The 23,598-nt window shown below is 46.6% G+C and overlaps 1 protein-coding gene, 1 long non-coding RNA gene and 1 pseudogene across 2 annotated transcripts, besides 4 other annotated features; 1 reads left to right on the forward strand and 2 right to left on the reverse strand.

Moving 5' to 3' along the window:
- Positions 1,824-2,325: an enhancer, noted in NCBI's record as "H3K4me1 hESC enhancer chr17:39549785-39550286 (GRCh37/hg19 assembly coordinates)". NCBI's record gives its function as "activates a minimal SCP1, AML or CMV promoter by ChIP-STARR-seq in primed H9 embryonic stem cells {active_cell/tissue: H9 hESC(primed)}" and the evidence as "EXISTENCE:reporter gene assay evidence [ECO:0000049][PMID:30033119]".
- Positions 2,012-5,899, reverse strand: KRT31 (keratin 31). Its single transcript, NM_002277.3, has 7 exons — positions 5,483-5,899; positions 5,204-5,286; positions 4,711-4,867; positions 3,753-3,914; positions 3,536-3,661; positions 3,139-3,359; positions 2,012-2,460 (listed from the first exon to the last, which is right to left on the reverse strand). Exons 1-7 carry the CDS (start codon positions 5,828-5,830, stop codon positions 2,307-2,309), a joined length of 1,251 nt encoding a protein of 416 aa, NP_002268.2. The 5' UTR covers positions 5,831-5,899; the 3' UTR covers positions 2,012-2,306.
- Positions 2,326-2,825: an enhancer, noted in NCBI's record as "H3K4me1 hESC enhancer chr17:39550287-39550786 (GRCh37/hg19 assembly coordinates)". NCBI's record gives its function as "activates a minimal SCP1, AML or CMV promoter by ChIP-STARR-seq in primed H9 embryonic stem cells {active_cell/tissue: H9 hESC(primed)}" and the evidence as "EXISTENCE:reporter gene assay evidence [ECO:0000049][PMID:30033119]".
- Positions 10,707-20,879, forward strand: LOC100505782 (uncharacterized). The gene is made up of 3 exons (NR_040111.1): positions 10,707-10,799; positions 16,712-18,608; positions 20,710-20,879. It is a non-coding gene; the product is annotated as an uncharacterized LOC100505782 (long non-coding RNA).
- Positions 11,981-13,180: an enhancer, noted in NCBI's record as "BRD4-independent group 4 enhancer chr17:39559942-39561141 (GRCh37/hg19 assembly coordinates)". NCBI's record gives its function as "activates an origin of replication core promoter dependent on BRD2, P300/CBP, MED14 and CDK7 cofactors, and independent of BRD4, by STARR-seq in HCT116 cells {active_cell/tissue: HCT116}" and the evidence as "EXISTENCE:reporter gene assay evidence [ECO:0000049][PMID:35650434]".
- KRT41P (keratin 41, pseudogene) lies at positions 15,674-20,023 on the reverse strand (annotated as a pseudogene).
- Positions 19,828-20,329: an enhancer, noted in NCBI's record as "H3K4me1 hESC enhancer chr17:39567789-39568290 (GRCh37/hg19 assembly coordinates)". NCBI's record gives its function as "activates a minimal SCP1, AML or CMV promoter by ChIP-STARR-seq in primed H9 embryonic stem cells {active_cell/tissue: H9 hESC(primed)}" and the evidence as "EXISTENCE:reporter gene assay evidence [ECO:0000049][PMID:30033119]".
- Positions 20,880-23,598: the final 2,719 nt, after the last annotated feature.

Raw genomic sequence — 23,598 nt, forward strand, 5'->3', positions numbered from 1 at the left:
GAAACCTTGTGAGTGACGTAGACAATCAATTTGGATCATTTTTAAAACCACCTCCATAGGATTGTGACTCATAATTGAATCTAAAGGCAGTTCCTGAAGAGACTTGCCAAAAATTAGTGGGAATCTGTGCATAGGGTTCAACAATGTGAATGTACTTAATGCCCCTGAATTGTACATTAAAAATGGCTAAAATGGTAAATTTTATGTTGTACATATTTTACCACAATAAAAATAAAATCAGAGGTCTGGCAAGGTTACGTTTCTCTTTAAAGGGTCTAGAGGAGAATCCTTGCTTTTTCCAAGATCTAGAGATGACCTGCATTCTTTGGCTCATGACCCACTTCCTCCATCTTCAAATCCTGCAAGGACAAGGCAGGTTCTTCTCACATCACATCACTCTGACCTGGGTCCATAGTTTCATCACCTTCTCACTCTTCTGCCTCCCTCTTCCACTTTTAAGAACCCTGAGTCCACCTGATAATCCGAGATAATCTCCCTATCGTAAAGTCAGCTGATTAGCAACTTTAATTCCATCTGCAACTTCGATTTCCTTTTTTATGTAATCTAACATATTCCCAGGTTCCAGGAATTAGAACATGAACATTTTGATGAGGGATGGAGGGGACAATTATTCTGTCTACCACAGGAGCTATTAGCAGTACTTTTGTATTATTGTAAAATAATATACATAAGCAGGATGTGGAATAAAGAAACAAGCAACATGAGAGAGAGCCTCTGGACTGAGCTTGACCTTGGGTTTGGAGGAAATCACAGACACAGGGTGAATCATAGTAGAGACAGAGTTCCAGGTCAGAGGTTTCTCACAAGCCAAGCAGCAAAGCACAAATCCAAATCCATCCTGGAACTTGAGTTTTAAAAAGAAGAATCAAGGGAGAAATTATGGTGGAGAGAATCATCGCTTTATGAAAACAAACAAAAATATATTTTTTATATATATTTATATATATATATATATACATATAAAATTCCGATTCACTTGATCATTTTAGGACACAGGACTATGTTTCACCCAGGTGGAGTCTGATACCCGCTGGGAAAGCCTGGTGTGGTGGGAAAAGTCAGAGACCTCTGATCCCTTCAGATCAAAATGGCCCTCTATGTTTTCGGGAGGTCTATGCTTAAACACTTCCATGGGTCTTCATGAGAGTCAAAGAAAGATGCCCTTTCTTGATAAACACCAATGCCATTGGGTACCAGCATTGTCCCTTTCGGTACTCAGAGTTCCTTCTAGCACCCACCAGCTGTTCACAGTGCCAGGGGACTGGGCCTTATAAGAGCACTACTTGGGGACTAGTTTTTTAACAAATTATCAGTAAGTTGCAGTCAGGAACTGTGTGTTTCTTCATGTGTCTCTACCCATCCCACCACCCAGCGTCTGCACAGAGTAGGTATTCAACAGGTACTGGTTGGATTGAATTGAGAAAGGCCAAAGGATCAAATAAAGAGTTGACGGGGTCTCTAAGACCTGGAGTCGAGGAGGGAGGACAGAAGCTGGAAGCCCAGGCTGATAATGATCAACCCACACAAGGGAAAGGAGGAATTCCTGGGTATAGCAGGGCAGGTCAGAGGGTTTCTTCGCTGGGAAATGCCTGGACCACCAATAACCCAGAATAATACAGCACTGAACCTGAAACTCCTGCTGAAAGAACATGAGTTTTCCAGAGCTTCTTTCCAGCCCGCAGCTCATGCCTCCTCCATTCAGAATAGGATACAAGCAGCTCTGGGAGATGTCCAAGTTAGAAGGGAAATCCAAGAATAGCTAAGGGGAGATAGGGACTGCAGCACTCAGCACCTCCACCCTCCTTCCCACTGGCCTGCCTGCCTCGCTCCTGGGTCCAGGGCACCAGATTCACCATCTTCCCCTGAGGCATGAAACTGCTCTGGTATCCAAGAGTCAGGCCATTATATGGCCTGTCTTTCAAGTGGCTTTTTATAGCGTACTCAGGTGATGAGCACGTTGAAACAAATGAATACAAATGAAAAAGGCATCTGCTTTGCCAAGGAAATGATATTTATTAGGAGGTTAAAAGGGAGGCCCACTGGCACATCAGAGAGTTCTCTGGGTGAGCATAGGAAGGAACAGACCCCCAGGAAGGAAAGGGTGAGCAGGACAGTCTGGAGTAGTTGGGGAGGCTACAGGCTTTGGGTGAGTTTCTTGGCTGCCTTACGCGGGCAACTCCAGCCATGCAAATGATGTTTTCAGGCCCCTTTTGTTGAACCAGAGCCAGGTCACAGCTCTGGAGTCCTGGGCCCTGCATCCTTGCTCCTCTGGCATTCCCTAGGTTCTAGCGCACGAAGGAATTGCAGGGCCCACAGCGGGGGCGTGGGGCACAGGGTGTGCAGGGGGCAGGAGGGACACAAGAGGTACAGGGATTGGAGAGACAGGGTCCGATGGGCTTGCTGCACGCGTTGGTCGTGGCACAGGGATTGCTGGGCAGACTGGAGACAAAAGAATGATGTGGAAAAGTGAGTTAAGGGCAATTTTAAAATCATATGCCAGAGATATCCCCAAGGGTAAGAATGCCTGGGTCAAGGGACTTGACCTGGCCTAGAACAGAAAAGGCACAGACTCCCCTGCTACAAAGATAACTAACTCAAATTGTTAATGGTCTCCCTGCCATAGAGCACCAAGGTAGACAGAAACTCTGAAACTCTGATGTCTACTCTCAAATCCATTCATGCCAAACTGATGACATGGGGTGAGTCATTTACCTTCTCCAAGCCCCAGTTTACTTTCCTGTAGAATGGAGGGAATACTGATCCAGCCCACCTGGTGGTAATTATAAGATCAAATCAGGTAGCCTATGGGAATGTACCCACTAGGCAATACAGTATTGTAAAAAGTAAGGCATTGATCACATATCATGCAGTCATGCATATTATCATACTAGAATGCAAAGACTTGGCAGTGCAATTTCAGTTTGTACATCAAACAACTCTTGCTACCAAACCATTTATGTTTTAAATGATGGCCATATTATGTTGTCTGAGTTCTGTTTGAGCATGTCTAGTGTGAAGGCATAATTTCCTTTCCAAGGTATGCAATATTTGCATGGTGTCTAACTGTTACACTCACACGTGCATCATTTCATCAAACACGTCTGCCCATGTACTCACTTGCAGTCCTCGCTCTCCAGCAGGCTCCGGTATGTGTTGATCTCACACTCCAGCCGGGCACGCACATCCAGCAGCACCTGGTACTCCTGGTTCTGCCGCTCCAGGTCACTGCGGATCTCCGCCAGCTGGGACTCCACGTTGGTGATCAGGCTCTGCACCTGGGACAGCTGGGAGCTGTAGCGGGCCTCACTCTCTGTCAGCGTGTTTTCCAGAGAGTCTCGCTGTGGTGGAGAAGATTGGGAATGTCAGAGAGCTGCTCCTTCAAAGGGTTTCTTCACAGGATTACAAGGAAGTCACAAGCTCCAAGAGCTAAGGAGAGTGTGTGGCCCCAAGCACATCCCCGGGACTCTGCCTCCCAAGTTCCCGTCGCTCACCAGCAGGTCTGAACAATACACACCAGGTTGTGCTGGGCCTGCAGCTCGATCTCCAGGGCGTTGACTGTGCGTCTCAGCTCGATGATCTCCGCCTGGTAGGACTGCAGCTGCTCTGAGCTGGATACCACCTGCTTGTTCAGCTCCTCGGTCTGAAACACCCAAGGGGAGAAAGGATCAGACCCTGCCTCCGGGGCCCTGGGGGGCCTTGGGTCCTGAGGGGCCACGTGCTTAGATGCCCACCTGCGTGGTGAACCATTGCTCCACTTCCCTGCGGTTGGTTTCCACCAGGGCCTCATACTGACTCCTGGTCTCGTTCAGCACCCGATTCAGGTCCACAGTGGGAGCAGCATCCACCTCCACATTGAGGCGGTCTCCAAGCTGGCAGCGCAGGGTATTGACCTCCTATGGATGCAGAAAATACAAGAGTTACTATGCTCAGCAAAGAATGAACTCTAAGGAATGGCATTGCTTGTTGAAACCCTGTTAGTCTATTTTCTCGGAAAAGAAACTTTGAGTGGAGCAGTTTGTGACAGCTCAAGGCACTCCATGTGGCATAGCCCCCTCCCCACCATCTGCTGTGCCATGGCACTTGGCTTCAGAAAAAAATCCCAAAAGTTTGCTTGGATGCCACTGAAGGATGAACTAATTGATATTCAACTTTCCCAGTTTACAATTGGCTGTGAGGACCTCAGAATGCCAAAAAAAATAGGCTGTGCAATTTCAGACCATATATCAAAAAACTCTTGCTGTCAAGTAAGAGGTAAGAGCATGTCATGGCCCCTCCCAAGAGAGAGGAAGAATCTCACAAACACTCTTCACCAATACTTTGAAAGAGTAGAGACTCACATTTATAAGGTTTGATATTTTTTTTCTTGGCCTTTGCCAAAAAAAAAAAAAAAAGACTTTACAAAGCAATAACACTGCAATGCTAGGACTCATTCTACAACTATTGATCAACTGCAAGCACATGGAGCTGCTCCGGGCAACTCAAATAATGTGCTAGTTTAAAGTGAAAGATGTTTCCTGTCTGGGAACATGAACAGGTCTTATCTCTCTCCAATTTTTCTCTTACCGTGATGTTTTCAAAGGAAACCCTCAGTCTTGTACTCATACTCTGCATTCTGCTGCCCCAAATCACTAAAGCAACCCTGAGCCAGAGGCTGAGACAGGTTTGTGCATTTCTCATTTCTAGTCTCACCTGCTCATGGTTGCTCTTGAGGCAGAGCAGCTCCTCCTTCAGGGACTCCACCTGGGCCTCCAGGTCGGACTTGCACAGGGTCAGCTCATCCAGGATCCTGCGCAGACCGTTGATGTCCGACTCCACCAGCTGCCGCAGGGACAGCTCGGTCTGGTACCTGCGCAAGGACAGGGTCAGAGTACTACCTGGTAGATCTTCAAGACTCACAGGAATGATTTTTGATAACCTCATGTGCCTTATCTTTCCACTTTCTGTAATGAATAGGCCCAGGAGACAGAGGTTTCTGGAGGCTCCATCAATACCCAATATTCATCCCAAAACAAACAGATTGATGTGAGTCCTCATCCATTTTTGCATTTCTTTGCTTGGTTCTCCCCAGTCCTCTGCAGAATCCTTCACAACAAGTGGGTAGATCTGTTTTCAGATGGAAATCCCTTTTCTTTAAAGATTAAACAGAAGCAATTGACACTAGTGCAAATTCCGAACAACTCACTTGGTTCTGAAATCATCCGCAGCCAGCTTGGCGTTGTCGATCTGCACCACAAGCCTGGCATTCTCAGACTTGGTACACAGGATCTGGGGAGTGAGAGGTGGCTTAGTGAGGACTGAAAATAAATATGAAATCATCAACTTTTTAAAAATGACTTAAGCCATTTTGAAATAAAAGAGGAAGCAAGAATTATGACAGCACAGAAGCAAGAAACACACTTCTCTATCACAGACAGAATCACAGCAAACTCTCTTGCTTGGAGATGACAGCAATGCCGCTCACCTTCTGCTGGAGCTCCTCAATGGTCTTAAAATAGGACTGGTAACTGGGGCACAGCAAGGGCTCCTGCTGCTGAGACCGCTCCCGGATGAGGTTCTCCAGCTCCGCGTTGTCCCGCTCCAGCTGACGCACTTTCTCCAGGTAGCTGGCCAGGCGGTCGTTCAGGAACTGCATAGTCTCCTTCTCGCTACCATTGAAGGAGCCCTCGCAGAACCAGTTGCAGTTGCTCACATTGGCGGGGATGTTGCAGGCCCCGGGCAGGGTGCAGCTGTGGCAGCTGGGGGGCACGCAGGGCCGGGAGGAGCAGCTGGTGCGGCAGCTCAGGCTGGGCAGGCAGAAGTTGTAGGGCATAGTGCTGGGAGGGAGGGAGGGAGTGCCTGGCTGAAGACAGAGTCTAAATTCTCCAAGCCACAGAGCTGTGGGTCTCCTTCCTCTAGGGAGCATTTATATCCCACTGCAGAGGGTGTGGACACAGTATGTAATGTCTTTTTTCTTTTTATTTCTTCACTTCTTTTCAAACGCCCTTTCCTTCAGTCTGTTATTTGCCTTCCTCTGAAGAGTCCCTTCTCCCATAAAATTCTTTACTTGGGCTTCTTGCTAAGTCAGGACTCCTCCGCAGACAGTCCACCCATGAAATCAGAGTTCTGTGGTAGGCCTTCAAAGAGGCTACACAGTCCAGCCCAAGTATCTGCCCTCATTAATTGAGGTGTTGATCCATCCGATGACATTCTTTTGTGTCACATAATTCTGCAGGCCCATAAACATACTCATGTCCTGGTCCACCTGCCGTTTCTAGGGAGAAACACGGATTGATTTGAGGAAGAAGTTGCATTAAGAGGCCACAGTGGACTGTCTTTCCCTCTGCATTTAGAGAAGAATCTTCAAATGATGGAGCATTCTGTGCCTTGGAAGCCTTAAGGTGGATGATTAGAATCAATGGAGGACACGACTGAAAAGATTAGACAGCGATTTGTGTTTTACGGGTCCGTGTAATACTTCCCCCCCACCACCACATATTACTTAAGAAAATTGTAGAGGAGAGAATTTTAAAGGTAGAGGCTTTGATAACTAGTTGGAGAACAAGAAGTTTCTGGGGTAAGAGATCGTTTTGAAAGAGGCTGAAAAGTGCAAACCGAGAGAGCCATAAAAAACACATTTAAGGCTGGGCACAATGGCTCACGCCTGTAATCTCAATACTTTGGGAGGCCGAGGCCGGCGGATCACGAGGTCTAGAGATAGAGACCATCCTGGCCAACATAGTGAAACCCATCTCTACTAAAAATACAAAAAAATTAGCTGGGCATGGTGGCACCCACCTGTAGTCCCAGCTACTCGGGAAGCTGAGGCAGGAGAATCACTTGAACCTGGGAGGTGAAGGTTGCAGTAAGCCGAGATGGTGCCACTGCACTCCAGCCTGGTGACAGAGCAAGACTCCATCTCAAAATACAAAACAAAACAAAAAAAATGCATTTAAATAATCTAGGAAAGATATTCAGGGGCAGAGAGAAAGGAATAAGGAGGTCTTTGTCAAACATTTCCTAAGGTTATCCATAGTATCCGAACAGAGTAGATGGATATGTTAGGAAAGTCAGGAGATAGCCCAAAGGGGCCTCCACGGCCTGAAATCACTTGTAGTTGATCTTTAAACTTCATATGAATTGACCCTATATTCCATAATATATCCATGTTGGCTTTAATCTTTATATATATATATATATATATATTTTTTTTTTTTTTTCAGATGGAGTCTTGCTCTGTCACCCAGGCTGGAGTGCAGTGGAGCGATCTCGGCTCACTGCAAGCTCCGCCTCCCAGATTCATGCCATTCTCCTGCCTCAGCCTCCTGAGTAGCTAGGACTACAGGTGCCCACCACCACGCCCGGCTAATTTTTTGTATTTTTAGTAGAGATGGAGTTTCACCGTGTTAGCAAGGATGGTCTCAATCTCCTGACCTCGTGATCCACCCGCCTCAGCCTCCCAAAGTGCTGGGATTACAGGCGTGAGCCACCGCGCCCAGCCAGCTTTAATGTTTTTAAAAAGCCCCTTTTAAATTTCCAGTTAAACTTTCAAATACTTTGCTTAATTCTCTAAGAGAAATGGATACATCAGGAAGATGTACCATATTCTGTCCTGGGCTTCCCATCTCCAGCCCGAGTGGAGATGCCACCTGCTTTAAGAACCAAAGGTCTAAAGGTACCAAAGGAGGTCTCTGTGGTTGTGTAATTAAATCCAAGGACCTGGGCACCAGGAAAGAAAATGCTGAGCACGGCATGAGCAAGGGGGTTTTGCAAGGCAAGCTGGAGTCATTTGGGGTTGCTTTGGGAGGTGAAGGAAGGCACTAGAAGATCTGAGGAAGAGGTAGCCAAAGTTCTGAATATATAAAAGTTGCAGCACCCCCATCTCCACTGTGGCTTTGGCTGCCAGCCAGAGCTGCCGTTTTATTGACAATTTATTGGAGTGCTTCTCCCATTGAGCTTTCATGATGGTATTCATGTTGCACTCTGCTTGAGTCTCAGATAAAAGGTCCTTCATCTACACTCCCCAAGACCATTATCACTGCTTATTATAATGCCATTCAGATGAAAAGCCCCACAGCACTACAAAGAAGATCTAGACTTATAATAAAATCAATACTTTCGTTTCCTTACAAGACAATTAAAGGGGGAGAAATAGGCGGGTCTACAGACTGTTACTCCTGAGACTCTCCAGAGGAAGGACGCAAGGCTAGGTGGCAGCTGTCTGTGGGGAGCTTCTGTCTCATTTCATCTGGGCTTGGGATGAATGGAAAGGCTCGTGCATCTGATTGATGAGCACTAGCTTGTAGATGACAGCATAGGCCTTCTGCTTCCTAACTCTTGTCAGCCTGCTCCAAGCACTGGCTTTCCAGCAAGCAGCTATTTCCTCAGCCCTTTCTTCTTCCCCAGTCAGGCAGGCTTTAACCTAAGCCCAAACTAAATGCCAGCAGTATTCTCCAAGCTCTTGATTCCTATCTACTGATTGGCTGGCATAGCCTCATGGAGACTGTAGTCAAAGAAGAGTGTTTAGGCTCTAAGTATGAGAAGATTCAAGGATTGTATTGACAAGAGAGCAAACATAGAATTTTTGTACAATGCAGAGAGATCAGAGAAATGGAAAGAGACGGAGACCAGGAGAGACAACAAGAAAAAGAAGAGACAAGGAAAAAAGTTGGGAGGAATCCTCAGCATCATGCAGCAAATCAGACAAAGTTAGCCCAGCTTCCGAGGGGCTAACCTGGAAAATGCAAAGCTGAGAAGAAGCCAAGACAAAATAAGCCAATAGACTGAGGAGTGGCCCACCGTGCTGAGTGTCCTGCAAGGCGTAAATGGAGTTGACTCATAAAAGATCTATGGACACAGGACTACAGCTTCTGAGGCCTCTGAAAGAAGTGACATTGTTCCAAGCTGTCCAGACCGAAGCATCACCTCTGTGATCAAGCTTGAGATTGTTTGTGGCTGAGAAATATACTGCCATCTACACACAGGCAGTGTAAAGTCTAAAAGGAGCGACACTGCCTGTTCCTGAAGGAATAAGAAGTGGGAAGAGAAGAAAGGAGAAATGAAGCAGGGAGAGTCAGTCCTGCACTGGCTGCAGGTCATGGCCAGTCAGCAGCCACACAGAAGATGTAGGAGAGAACAAGAAACCCCTGTTATCTTCTGGTTACTCCTAGATATTCCTTTTTCTACCTGCTGGTTGCCCTGCAGAATGTGAAATGGCACAAGAATTCAAGATGGGGACCACAGACAGACTAGCTGGTGAGTAAACACAATGCTGCCATCTCTTGTGAATCTAGCCTCTTTCTTGCAGTGTTTTCAAGATCTCAATGGGCTTGAGTGAATTTGCTCCTTGAATTAGTGGGGAAAATGGGACCCCAGGGTTGTAAGATCCCCATGACCTCACACAGGCGAGGGGTAGAATTCATGTATTCTCTTGGTTTCCTAGTTGGAATATTTGCAAATTTTTTTCATTCAAGGAGAAATTGAGCAGTCAATGGGCTATCAAACCCACATTCATTATCCAGTTCAATTTAATTCAGAACACATTGATTAGACAGCTTCTCTATGCTGAGCATATGACTAAACAGAAGAATCATAGTTCTGGTGAAAAAAATGTCTTTTTATGAACAATTCCGGCCAAGATGGGTCCTCAATATGTATGAGAAATAGCCAGAAGTTAAGGAAAGGAGATATTTAGAAGGTGTAAGATGGGCATTTAGAAATATGTTTGTATTCAGTGTAAATAGAAAACGGGTACTGGGTGCAGTGGCTTGCATCTGTAATCTCAGCACTTTGGGAGGCTGAGGTGGGAGAATCACTTGAGCCCATGAGTTCAAGACTAGCCTGGGCAATATAGCAAGACCCCATGTCTACAAAAAAAATTAAAAATGAGTTTCAAAATTAGCCGGACGTGGTGGCACATGCCTGTAATCCCAGACACTTGGGAGGCTGAGGCAGGAAAATCTCTTGAACCCGGGAGGCGGAGGTTGCGGTGAGCGGAGATCACGCCATTGCACTCCAGCCTGGGCAACAAAAGCGAAACTCCATCTAAAAAAATAAAAATAAAATAAAATTTAAAAATGAGCCAGGCTTGGTAGAGCACATTTTAGTTCCAGATGCTCTGGAGGCTGAGGCAGGATGATTGCTTGAGCCCAGGAATTTGAGGTTACAGTGAGCCATGATCACACCTCGGCACTCCAGCCTGGGCGACAGCAAGACCCCATCTAAAAATTAAAAATAAATAAAAAGAAAACTGTACATGTGACATTATGGGCATTAGTCACTTGTTGAACATCTACTGTGTGCTTGGCACAGTCCCAGGGGCAGGGGACATGGTGGGGAGTGGGGGTATGTCATGTCCCTGCCCCCAGGAACTCTGAGTCCTGCTGAGCAGACAGGTCCACAGCTAGCATAATGTAATGTGATTGGGCCTTCCCCCAAAAATATCTCCTTCCCCTACCCACTCCATTTCTTCCTACACCCACCCCTGACCCAAACCCCATTCAGGGCATTCCAATCCAGCTCATGATTTTCAGCCACACGGCGAGGGGATGAAGCCATTTCAGGTTATGCACTTGATCCCAAAGAGTTTTTTGTGCTTCGCTCTCTAAGTGACTCATAAGCAGAATTCAGAGAACTGTTCTCATTAGAATCTTGTTCCCTTTAATAATCTAGTCTTCAGCCAGGCAGGGTAATGAATTGTTTTGGCATCTGGTTCTTGTTGCTTTGGAGACCACAGGAGAGGCGGTGGTGATGGCCCATCGCTTCAGCCCTGTGGCATCCCCACAGGATCCATGGGCATCAAGGTAAGTTTCAAAGCAAATGAAAGAGGCTTTTGCCAGGTGCAGCATAGGAAATCATTCCAGGGATGTGGTGTGGGCAGAAAAAGAAAAGCACCTACAGTAAATCAAGCAAATTGACAGAGGAAATAGAAAGGGGAATAAGGCTGGTGGAGGGAAACGGAGGGAGCACGCAGTCCTGCTGGTGAGTGGACACAGTTGTGCCCCCTTGAGACCAGAGAAACCTCCTGAGGGCAGAGGGCCTTGGAGACCAATGTGAATGACTGAGGCAGGTTGTATAGGATATCCAAGAACCAGGGAGGAAGGAAGGGAAAGGGAGGTTTGGATGCAATAACCAGCATCAAACGGGGGAGCCTCCAGGCAATGGCCAAAGGCCAGAAGCTGAGTCTAAAATGCTGATTGGGGACAGCACCGAGAAGGTCACCCCTAGGGAGATCCCAGACCCTAGGATACCTTTCCCGTAAAATCCATCCAGGATTTCAGAGTGGTCTGAACGTGAAGTTTTATCCACATGTACCTCCAGCAAGGCCCTCACAGTTGGGAACAGGGAAAGAGCAGGGAAAAAGAAATGAGAAGACTTGGGGTTGAGTGCGTGGAGCTGCCCCTCACCTGCTGTGAGGTGCAGAGGGGGCATTTCACCTCCCTACACCTGTACTTCTCCCACTGCACGATGGGGATTGTGATGTCTGTTCCCCTCTCTCAAGGTTGTTTGGGGCCTCCATTTGGATACAACACAAAGTACTTTAACAAGTGTTTTGTAAATGGTGAAACAATGAACATCTATAGGGATTCTGTTTCCCTCCTCCTCTTTCTCAATAGACAAGGTGGTTTTAAAATGGCAGGAAGTGAGTTGAGCTTCTTTGTCAACTCCTAGTTTATTAAAATTGCCAGAGTCCTCAAGCTTCAAGATCCTGTGAGATACTAAAGGACTTTTATTCCTTGTACCACCCTTTGTGGCATAAATTCTCAGAAACGTTTCTTCTAACATAAACATACTCATTTCCTTCAAGGAAAGGAATCAAAACAATGGGGTCATTATGATTCTATCATCCTTTTGACAAAATCTGAGACTTGGCCTCTGTAAAGCACAGTAGTTAAGAGCACAGTTGCTGGAGGCAGGCTGCTTGGATCTGAATCCTGGCTTCACCACCTAATAGCTGTGTGACCTTGGGCATGTTACTTAGCCTCTCTGAGTCTTGGCTACTTGTCTGCAAAATGAGAAAACCATAGCATTGGCTTTCTAGGATTGTTGTAATGATTAAATGAGTTTACCCATATGACTGTAGCTATAATTTAGACCAGCGCCTGGCTCATAGTAAGAGCTTGATGGATATATGGTTCTATGACAATGATGATGATGGTGAAGCTATATGATTTGATGATGATGATGATGATGATTCTGGTGATGGTGATGGTAATGATGACCTCTGTGGTTTCCAGGGAAACTCTTCACACACGACAAACACACAGATGTGCGTGCACACACACACATGTACTGTCTCATCAAAGCTAATCTTTTAATTAGAAATGAGAGAGCACTGGATGTGAACTTAAGAAACACAGGTCAATCACCCTGGGGCCCCACTGACTCACTTTATGTCACCAGCAGAATCCCTTAACCACTGAATGACTCACCTTCTCTCTCTCTCCCTTAAATGGGAAGGACAATGCTTGCCTGTGCCGTCATGGTGCAAGAATAAGTGGGTTTATTTTGTTAGACAGCTTTGAACTTGTTGGATGAAAGGAGCTATTTAAGTACAAAGGAGATGAGGGCAGCTGGGTCAGGTACTAAATTAAGACTAATCGAGATGGCTCTTCATTATTGAGAGCTTCTCTTGGGTAGGTGCCCAAGGGGTGTGTCACGTGTGCCAAAACAGTTTTACCACTTGAGAAAAAGAACAGAGGAGGGGAGGGCGTGGCAGCCTCTGACCCTTCTTGGGCTTCCTATGCTGGAAATCCCAGTGTCTCTCAAGCAGATCAGTCCTATGTACATGAGCAGTGACCAACAAGTAGGACGCTGGGCTTGAGAGCAGTTGGAGGCAGAGCAACAAGATTCTCACTTAAGCTCCCTCCAGCCTTGGGGCTCGGGACTGTGGTCACTCCAGCACCACACCGCTGTATCAGGAAGACCTGGATTAAACCAGAACCAGCTGTACTTGTAAATTTTTCAGCAAACTACAGTGATTCAGAGAATTCACAGAGGGAAAGGGAAGACCAAAACCAGCTCCTAAAGTAGATTTGGTGGTTCCACTTCAATGCCTGTGGTTTCACTGATCAATAAGACATAGAAAGCAGGGACGCACAGAGTTAGGGGGGCTACAGCCATCTCAACCAGCCCCATCAGTTCCCTAAGTGTTCCCCTCAACATCCCCATCAGTGATTCTGAAGCCTCTGCTTGTCTCCAAGGATAGGGAACTCACTGCTTCTCTTCTCTGGCCAGCTGTGATGCTGAATTCTGGAGATGTGCTGATTCTCAGCCACGGCTATCAAAATATGGAGCTTTTGATTCATGTTCTACCATCTGCAAATTCCAAGACAGACAGTTGCCATAAGGACTCACCAATGGGGGTTACTGGGGAGGTTGGATGGGTCAGCTTGTTTGGGCCTTTCTAGACTGATAGAAATAACTATCATGTAACATTTTCAGAGTTTTGCAATGTAAAAGAGAAAGGCTCTATCCTGATCTGATGGTATGAGGGATTCCTCACTGGAGGACATATCAGGACGGCAAGGCCAGCCCTTTCTGTAGAGGGTCTAGCTAGTCAAGGGCTCATTCCTCAAATAAACTTCCTAACCCAGTGTTTCTCAAACTTGAACCAACATCAGAATCACCTGCAAGTCATGCTAAAGCAGAATGCTGGTTCAGTAAGTCAGGGGTGGTGCTCAAGAATGTGCATGTCTAGCAAGTTCTCAGGTAATGCCAGTGCTACCTGCTGGCGGACCACGCTTTAAGAACCACTGTCCTAAACCTTCTCATGTTTAATTTGTTTCCCCCTCAAAGCTTCCAAAGAACGGGCTTTGGATCTGGTTCAAAGAGACTAGGTTTCAAGTCTTGACTCAGTAACCAACTGAGAATAATAACAGCTGCTTCTTCTTTGCAGGGCTGATGTGGTGCCCTGTGACACAATGTCGGCGAAGCCCCAGCCAGTGCCTTGTTCATAATGGGCATGTCATCCTAAAAGCTCAATTTAAGTTACCTGTTCTGGGGCTTCTGATTCATGTTCTACTGTCTACAAATTCCAAGCCAGACAGCTGCCAGGACTTACCAGTGGAGCTTACTGGGGAGCTTGGACGGGTCAGGTTGTTTGGGCCTTTCTAGACTGATGGCGATTACCATCAGTTAATATTTTCAGAGTTTTGCAACGGTCTGTGGTGCCGCAGATTTGAGCTCTTCCTTTACACAAGGACCAGGTGGCTTATCCAGATAAAAGGGAAATTTTACTTAGCGTCTATATTTTAAAAGCTCTATCTGTAAATCTGTCTCCAAATACACTTGGTGAGGTCCAAGGTTGGGTATCTCTCCTCTGTGCCACTTTGCCGCAGTCCCATTTTTAACTCTAGCCTTCACTGGCTTTGCCATCTCCCAGAACCACTCTGGCGAGCCAGCCACAACCCCCGTCTACAGAAGCATGTGGCTCAAGGAGTTCCCAGCAAGGCTCTCAGCATGGGACGGAGATGCTGAGGCTGGACTGCACTGGGCTCATTCTGCTGCAGAAGCGAAGTTTAATAGCAAAATAAAAACAAAAGTGCCTGCCCCATCTCAGAGAGATCAGGAGGCAACAGAAGAGAGAAAATGGAGCACTTGGGACACCTTGAGGGGAAGAAACAAATCCAGCCATAGGGGCTGAGCTGCTGGATTCAAACACCTATCCACAGAGTGGCACTGTCTCTCTTCAGTCTCCTGCCTGGCTGGCCAGGGAGGCAAGGCCCAGGTTAGCAGGCCTGCAGAGCAAAGCCTAACGAGCTGAAGACACCTCCCCTTTCCCAGCACCTCGGGCTGAGGAGTGTGTCAGTATCCAGTTGATGAGCAGGGCCCATGGGTGGCCCGGGAGCAGGGGGCGCAGGCTGCAGGGGCTGGACTAGGAGTGCTGAAGGCTGGGGTTGCACACGGGTTGCAGGGAAATCTGCATAGAGAAAAAAGGTGTTTGAAACATTGGCATGAGAAGTATGTGAAAGACAAAAGTATATTATAGACACTTTAGAATTAAAGTGCAAAAGAGGACCTTAGACCTTAGAGGTCCCTCTAAGCCTGAAAGGGGCAATGACGTGCCCACAGTCCACAGTGGAGCTGGGGCCAGAACTCAGTGTACCTGTGTGCCAGGCCAGGGTCACGTCCCATATGGAAGGAACACAGCAGAGAGAAAGGCAGAAAGGCCAGAGGAACAAGAATGGTCCAGATGTCAGCCACTGATTCCATTTAAACACAGCCCCTCATAGTGTTCCTTAGTGCTTAAAGGGGTATATCAGCCCTCTGATGCTTTTCACAGGGCTATTGTGGAACTAAAATGAAAGAGTCAGTGCACATGCCCTTAGCAATACTTTAAATGCTATGAGCACAAAGAATACTCGTTATTGGAATACTTCTCCTGGAGAGAATTTAGCAAAACCTGAATGTGCTGGGCATTCAGTATTTTAGCCCTCTATGGGAGTAGCCAGCAACTGGGAGCACAACGTGGTCAGCAAAACAAATGCCATGACCTGAAAACTCCTGTACACCCTCACCTACGCCTAGGCAGGCATTAGCTCACCAGGCCTAGTGGTAGCAAGTTTGTCTCCAAAGATGGGATCTGCAATGCCACCCCCACCTGGCCTCCAGAGCTCCTTTTAGGTCATTCCCAAGAGAAGTTATCTGTTTTTGCACACGGTGTTGACATAGACAACAGGGTACGTACTTGCAGTCCTCACTCTCCAGAAGGTTCCGGTATGTGGCAATCTCATTCTGCAGCCGGGCCTTCACATCCAGCAGCACCTGGTACTCCTGGTTCTGCCGCTCCAGGTCAGCCCGGATCTCAGACAGCTGTTCCTCCACATTGTTGATGAGGCTCTGCATCTGGGCCAGCTCTGTGCGGTAGCGGTCCTCGGCTTCACACAGGGAGTTCTGTAGACAGTCCTTCTATAATATCAAAGAAAGGAGGAAGCAAGTTAAAAATCATGGATCTCCAACCTCTTAAGATTGTGACACCCCAAGACATTGCCAGGTCCAGAGAGCAATCTAACTCCCTTTAGCTGTCTTCAGCCAGAATAACTAACACACTTCATGGTAGACCTTTAAGATCAGAGCCCTCTGACCTAAGTTAATGTTGATTCACTCAGCATCCACATCTACAGGGAAGTGCTTCCAAAAGAGTTGAAACCAAGGTTTAAGCTGAGTCCGTGGTTGGTATTCGAGGCCTGTACTGACCCCAGAGAGCTACTCATGGGTAGTGGGAGCCAAGCTGGGTCTCCCATGCGTGCAGAGGGACTCACCAGTGTGTGCTGAGCCTGAAGCTCCACCTCCAGGGCGTTCACCGAGCGTCTCAACTCCAGGATCTCTGACTGGCAGCACTGCAGCTCCTCAGAGCAGGACATGGCCTGCAGGCTGATGCCTTCAGACTGGAGCATAGAGAAACATGGTCACCTACCTGCCCAGATGGAGGCCAATCCCCACTGCTTAGCAGTCCCCCTCACCTGGGCTTGGAACCACTGCTCCACATCCTGGCGATTGGTCTCCACCATGGCCTCGTACTGGCCTCACGTCTCCCCCAGAACTCTACTCAGGTCAATGGTGGGCTCAATGTCCAGCTCTATCCGGAGCTTGTCTCCCAGCTGACCCCTTAGAGTGTGGGCTTCCTGTAGGCATCAGAGGAGTATGACCCGCCTGCAGGGCCCCCAACTGCCCTTCACCCAAACTCTCAACTCCCACTTTCCATCCTCCCCAGTAATTTCCCTGTGCTCCTCTGAAGATAAACCGCTGCCTGCACCAGCCTAGCAGCTTCCAGAAGCTGTGGATGAGAAGCAATCTCCCACCAAAAGCCAGAGCTCACCTGCAAAGCTTCAATCCCAAGCAGAAGGAAGCCTCCGTTTTTTCCCCCCAGATGAGCCTGAATTCACCTCCAGAAAGTCTCAATGCATCACACCAAGGGTCACACACCTGCTCATGGTTCTTCTTGAGGCAAAGCAGCTCCTCCTTCAGGGACTCCAGCTGGGCCTCCAGGTCACACTTGGCGAGGGTGAGGTTGTCTAGCACCCTGCGCAGGCCACAGATGTCAGCCTCCACCAGCTGTTGCAGCGAGCGCTCTCTCTCGTACCTGTAACAGGGAAAGTGCAGGAGTGACAGTTAGAGGGCAGGAAGGGGCACCAGGACATGACTCCCAGCTCGCAGCTGTAAGTCCACTGGCCTGCCCTTTGCCATCTAATTGTGAGTTGGCTTATCCTGTGTAGTGTGCTCAAAGCCCAGAAAGCAACAGGATGTTCCCCACTCAGTCAATACTAAGCACCTGAGATGAACCAAGGGGAGCAGCTGGTACTGAGGATACTGTGATGGACACACAGCCAGCACCTGCCTTTACACACAATGGCCCAAAAGGGAGGTGGCAAAGTAACCAGGCATTTGCAACACAGTGCAATCACTGCAGGCCCCTCTCTACAAGCCCCATACCCAAAGGGACCCTGGATTCCCTATTAGAGTAAAAGCCACATTGCCAGCATGAGAGGAAGGAAATGGCTTTCTTTAGCTCTAGAAGAGTGAGACTTGCACAGTGCCCCGAAGAAAGATGATAAAACACAATGCCCTTCCAGCACCCAGGGTAGACCCTCCTCAGGTGGTGTCAACCCTTTGACTTTCACATGTTTTCATCTTAGGCTATGGAGCATGATTTCTGCTATGAATTATCAGCACTCACAAATTAATCAAGCTGCAGCACAGAAACATATCCTTATTAAGGCAACAGTTTCACAGGAAATTGCTTCAAGAAAGGAAAATTTGGTACAAAATTTAAGGCCAAGTCCCAGCTCTGCCACTCGGTACCCACATGGCTTCTGGCAAGTCACACCAGCACCCCAAGCCTCAGGGTCCCCACCTGTGGAGGAGATTCTATCCCTGCCCGCCTGCTTCACAAGTTGCTTACCAGGTGGATGATGCATTCTAGCACATGTTGTAAACTGTTAATGCTAAACCACTGGAGAGCGGATAGTTTTTCAGGATCTTGAGCTTAATGCCCTTTGTTCTCTTCTGCTATAACTACTGGGTTGGGGTCTGGGTCAATGACATCCGATGCCACATGAGACAGAAGCAGCCAACTTGGCATTGTCCCATCCCCATCCAACCCCAACTCTCACTTGGCTCCTTCCCATCCCTGTCCAACCCCAACTCACTTGGTCCTGAAGTCATCTGCAGCCAATTTGGCATTGTCTATTTGCACAACCAGCCTATTGTTCTCCGATTTGGTGCACAGAATCTGGGGTAAGAAAGTAGGCTCAGTAAGTGACTTACTGATCCCAGAGACACCTATAGCCTCAGGTGAGAGGAAGTTTTATTGGCTGAAGTTGAACCTACAGCATCCGCCTGGACAACACAAACTCCCAAACGTGCAAGAGATGCTTTTGTGGTGTGGGAAGGAAGATGTGCAAGAGACTTCTTGGAAAAGGATGAAGACATAGAGTCAAAGGAACCAGGAGATGGAAGACAGTAGCAAACTGAACATATAACAAAGACTTGCTTTCATTTTGCCAGATATGATGCTTAGCCCAATATAAATAAGAAGATCTGGCCGGACGCAGTGGCTCATGCCTGTAATCCCCGCACTTTGGGAGACCAAGGCAGATGGATCACCTGAGGTCAGGAGTTCAAGACCAGCCTGGGCAACATGGTGAAACACCATCTCTACTAAAAATATAAAAGTTAGCTAGGAGTGGTGGCGCACACTTGTAATCCCAGCTACTCAGGAAGCTGAGACATGAGAATCACTTGAACCTGGGAGGCAGAGTTTGCAGTGAGCTGAGATTGCACCACTGCACTCCAGCCTGGGTGACAGAGCGAGACTTTGTCTCAAAAAAAAAAAAAAAAAAACTAGGCCACAGAACAGAGGACTGGCTATGAATGTTTTAGATAAAGTAGGATCTGTTCTAAAGAAGATCTTTCCTCTGGTTGTCCAACCTCCCCACAGGTCTTCTCTGAATCTAGCCAGGTTTCTGTAACCCCTATTTTGACATTCCTTGTCTTCTTGTCTCCAAAACTAAGATGTAGGCTCTTCAGAAGCTTTAACTGGATAATCAAAGGTGACAATAGATATGCATAAGAGGTTGATGCTGTTGTGTGGATAGACACTGCCTTGGCAAGGATGTTAGGAAATATTCCTTTTGCCCTGTTTACTGCACCAGAAGTTTCAGTATACTGCAACTTTCATAAACTCAGCACGGTTTTTGCATGGTTTTCATGAAAATAGCATGATTTTTGTGACTACGATTTAGGAATTTTATGTGCTGAAGTTAAGTAAGCATGAACTCAGAATCCTAGAGTGATAAATTCTACATCTCATCCTTTACAAATTCCCATTCACCTTCACTCAAGAGATTCTCTTCCCACATTAAAAGAAAAAAAAAATCCACTGCTGACCCAGGGTCAGTAATCTTTTTTTGTAAAGGGTCAGATAGTAAATACTTTAGGCTTTGCAGACCCTACAGTCTCCATTACAATGACTGAACTCTGCCACTGTAGTACAAAAGCAGCTGCAGACAACATACAAATGCATGAGCATGGCCATGAACCAATAAAACTTTATTTGCAAAAGCAGGTGGTGGGCCGGATTTGGCCGACAGGCAGTAAGCAGATTCCTGACCCCTGATCTGGTGCACCGCAAACCTCACCTTCTGCTGGAGCTCCTGGATGGTGCAGAAGTAGGACTGGTAGTTTCGGCACACGCTGGACTCGTGGCACTTGCTCCTCTCATGGAGTTTGGTCTCCAGTTCTGCATTGTCCCACTCCAGCTGGCGCACCTTCTCCAGGTAGTTGGCCAGGCGGTCGTTTAGGAACTGCATGGTCTCCTTCTCGTGGCCGTTCAGGGTGTTTTCGCGGTAGGCCCCACAGATTCCGATGTTGCCAGGAATGTGGCAGGTCCCTGGCAAGGGACAAGTGGTGTGGCAGGTTGGGGGCAGACAGAGGCTGAGGCGGCCCAGGGGAGTCGACCCCACACGGACTCGATTGGCATGTGCCACATTAGCCAAGAGGCACAGAGAGGCAGCGTTGGCCTCTGAAACCTGCCCGCTGAGGAGGGAACTGCAATGGTCAGAAGTCATGGTGCTAAAAGGCAAGATCCTGCTTTGCCCACAGTTGGATCTGCTTGACACCAAAATCTTCCTTCTCCTGTAGACCTTATATAAGCCTTAGTGGGTGTTGGTGCAAGAAAACTGGCATTTTCCTCATTAATATTTATGTCAATTGTTATACAATCACTCTATTAGTCAGTGGTTTTTGTTTCCTATAAAGAGTTAATGAGCTCATGAAAGAGGCCCTAACCTCTTTCTTCCCATCACTGCAGGGTCCTGGAAAACAGAGAAAACAAGGTCTTCTTCAAGCAGCCCACTTTCTGTGGCTGTGAAATCTTTCCCCTTCTGTCAGCTTATGTCTATGAAATAATCAAGAACTAAAGGCTCCTAAAATGTCCTGCAAGTCTCTCTCACTCCCACATTCTTTTCCTACCTCTGAATGTTCCCAATGCAGCAAAACCTAAAATATTAGTCAATCAGGCACATTGAAGAAAGGGAAAAATCATGATTTGTTTGTTTTGATAGATATTTGTAGAGTGCCCAGTGCGGAACAAACGCACATCTATGCTGTCTTGTAAGAAGGAGATTTTAGATTTTAATAAGAAAGATAAAAAAGTAAATGATCTTGATATTATGAAGACAGTAAAAGGAAGTATTTTTTTTTTTTTAAAAGACAGCTGCAAAGATTTCGAGGTGGAAGAGAGCTCACTGAGAGACCGGAAAAAGACTTCATGGAGTAGGGGATTTTCCAAATATGTTTTGAATGATATTTTTTATAAAGGGTTGGGGAATGAGCTTCTCTCATAGAGAACAAAATAAACACAATCAAACATTTGGAAAATGGAAAATAGTCTAGTTGTGTTGGTATTTATAATGGAGACATTATCCCCAAGCCCCGGAAAGTTGCATTGAGTCCAGGTTGTGAAAAGTCTTAAATACCAGGACCATGGTCTTGAGGCAAAGGTGAGTGAAAGGTAGGGATCTGCCCTGGAAGACGACTTTCAAGTATAAGGAAAAATAAATAGCCAGCTTCCTTTTGAAGGAAAGTAGCAGAAAAAAGGTGGAAAGTTCCTTTACACAAATTATTAGAAAACTGAAAATGAAACCTAAGTTCAAAATTAATCTTGGTGTTTGAAAACTAACACAGTTTTTAATACTCCTTGGGTTAAATAAGAAATCTAATTTAAAAATTTTTAAGTATTTTGAACTGAATTAAAATCAATACACAACCTATAAAACAGATGTTGGCAATTAAGACTTTCCCTGTGCATACGTGAAACAGATAAGCGTTTTGGGAGTGAGAAAAAAACGGCTCATAATAAAACTGATGGTTTGCAATTTTCAGAAAATAAAATTATGCTTCTGTGTACTGGAGTCTACAGGCTAATTAAGGCAGGCAGTGATTAACACTTTATGGTGTCTGTTCTCAGGGCCTCACCCACCTTCCCAGGCATCTTTCCTTTCTATTGACCCTTTCACCAGACTGAGTCCCTCATCACCCTTGTTTACAGAAGATACGTACTCAAGAACTTTGATCTTTCATCTTTTGAAATATTTTTGCATTTCTTTGAAATGCATCTACCTTGATTATCCATTGCTTGGGAGACTCTAGAACAAAATTTAAATTTCCTTAATCTTCAGACACACTCAGAGCATCAGAACCTTTATGGCCTCCCCTATTTCTAAAACAAATAAGCCAGTGGCCATTTGTTCAATACACCCTGGAAAAGGGCAGCTAGCCAGCTTCCAGTCTATGCTAACAAAGATGCTAATTTGACCGCATTCCTAAGATGAATGAATTCACCACGAGGGCCCTTGAAGCAGCAAGTGTGTTTCAGCTGGCACTACAACATAGCATCTCCAGGACGAAAGGGACTTCAGGGTCCTCTAGTCTAGTACCCATTTGCATTAAATCCCTTCGATGACCTTCCTCCAACTAGTCATCTAGTCCACCATTTTCCAGGAGAGCTTACACCATCAGTTCCTGTGGCTTACAAACAGCTTCCCAGGCTTTGTGCAAGACACTGGTATCCAGAAAATTAACAGCAGCTAGCTCAGCCTTAAGGCACTCACATTATAGAGAATTTTTAGAAAGTCTTCACAAATCTACCTTCGTGTTACCTCTCCCTATAGCTTTTGTTGGGTCATTCATTCATTCATTCAACAAATAGCTATGAAGTACCTACTCTGTGCCAACCAGGGGCTGAGCTGGAGGCTAGTAATACATTGGCAAGTAAGTCAGAGAGTTGGCCCTTTAGTTCATTTACTCTCCAGTTCTCCCCCATGGTGTCCCATACAGGATAAATCTAATCATTCTGCCATATTCTCAGCTCTTTGTGGCAGATGTGAGATTTCTTACTCCTGGTTCTGCATTCAGCATGGTTCAAAGTCCCCTTGCCATCCCAGGAATGTTTCCCTGGACATGCTCCATGATGTAACAGTTACTATCACTCTTAAGTGCGGGCTGTACAGTGGGATTTCTGATTAGTTTAGATTGAAAGGCTGCCAGTAGATGGCCAGAAAACCTTCTTGCCCAGGACTTTTGTGTAAACCATGCTGGAGCCACTGGCTATTCAGCCATGACAACCAGCCAGCCACCAGTTGGTCCCATATACAGTCAATGAGACGCATGGGGACCCTTCTCTGTAACTCTATACAGATGTGGGTGATATTCTCCAAGGCATGATTTGCCTTATCCTGGTGACTTACTCTGAATGTCTGATATTCCTGAACTCCTGTTATACCAAAGCCCTTCTCAAGGGGATGGGGGATGCAGAGATGAAAAGGAGAAATTTCCACCCTCAAAAAGCTGAGAGCAGAAAAAGAGGTCACGTAACTCAGTGGAGGGAGAAGTGACTGGAGCTTAGAGATATAGAGGGGCCATCAAAGACACTTTGTCTGGAACTTAAGATTGGGAAGACTTGGATGGGCAGGAAAGATGGGAGACAGTTTTCCAGAAAAAGAGGATGAACAGGCCAGGCGCAGTGGCTCGCGCCTGTAATCCTAGCACTTTGGGAAGCCGAGGCAAGCGGATCACGAGATCAAGGATCGAGACCATCCTGGCCAACATGGTGAAACCCCATCTCTACTAAAAATACAAAAATTTGCTGGGTGTGGTGGCACACGCCTGTAGTCCCAGATACTCGGGAGGTTGAGGCAGGAGAATTGCTTGAACCTGGGAGGTGGAGGTTGCAGTGAGCCGAGATCGAGCCACTGTGCTCCAGCCTGGGTGACAAAAAAAAAAAGAGGATGAACACAAGAAAACACTCAGAAGCAGAAGTGGGCTCAAGAGAACTGGGTACAACTTCAGAAATGCAACAGCCAACAACAGGCCTGTCCCAAGTACTGGACCCCCAAAGAAATGAGTTTGAATGACACAAAATGTCAACCCAAAGAGCCAAATTGCATTTCTGAAGCCTGTAAGAGTGAAGTTTGTACTCCTCTATGCTAAAAATATTGTCTGCTTCTATTTTCATAACATCTCCACCAGTGGTCAAACTTTAACCAGCATCAGAATCACCCAGAGGGCTTGCAAAAAATGCAGGTTTTCAGGCCCCACACC

The sequence above is a fragment of the Homo sapiens genome, chromosome 17 (assembly GCF_000001405.40).
Source record: "Homo sapiens chromosome 17, GRCh38.p14 Primary Assembly".
NCBI lineage: Eukaryota > Metazoa > Chordata > Mammalia > Primates > Hominidae > Homo > Homo sapiens.

Coding starts and splice junctions, on each gene's coding strand:
- KRT31 (NM_002277.3), bottom strand. CDS start 5,830: ATGCCCTACAACTTCTGCCTGCCCAGCCTGAGCTGCCGCACCAGCTGC. Junction 4,868..5,203: donor GCGGATGATTTCAGAACCAA/GTGAGTTGTTCG, acceptor GTCCTTGCGCAG/GTACCAGACCGAGCTGTCCC. Junction 3,915..4,710: donor TCAAGAGCAACCATGAGCAG/GTGAGACTAGAA, acceptor CTGCATCCATAG/GAGGTCAATACCCTGCGCTG.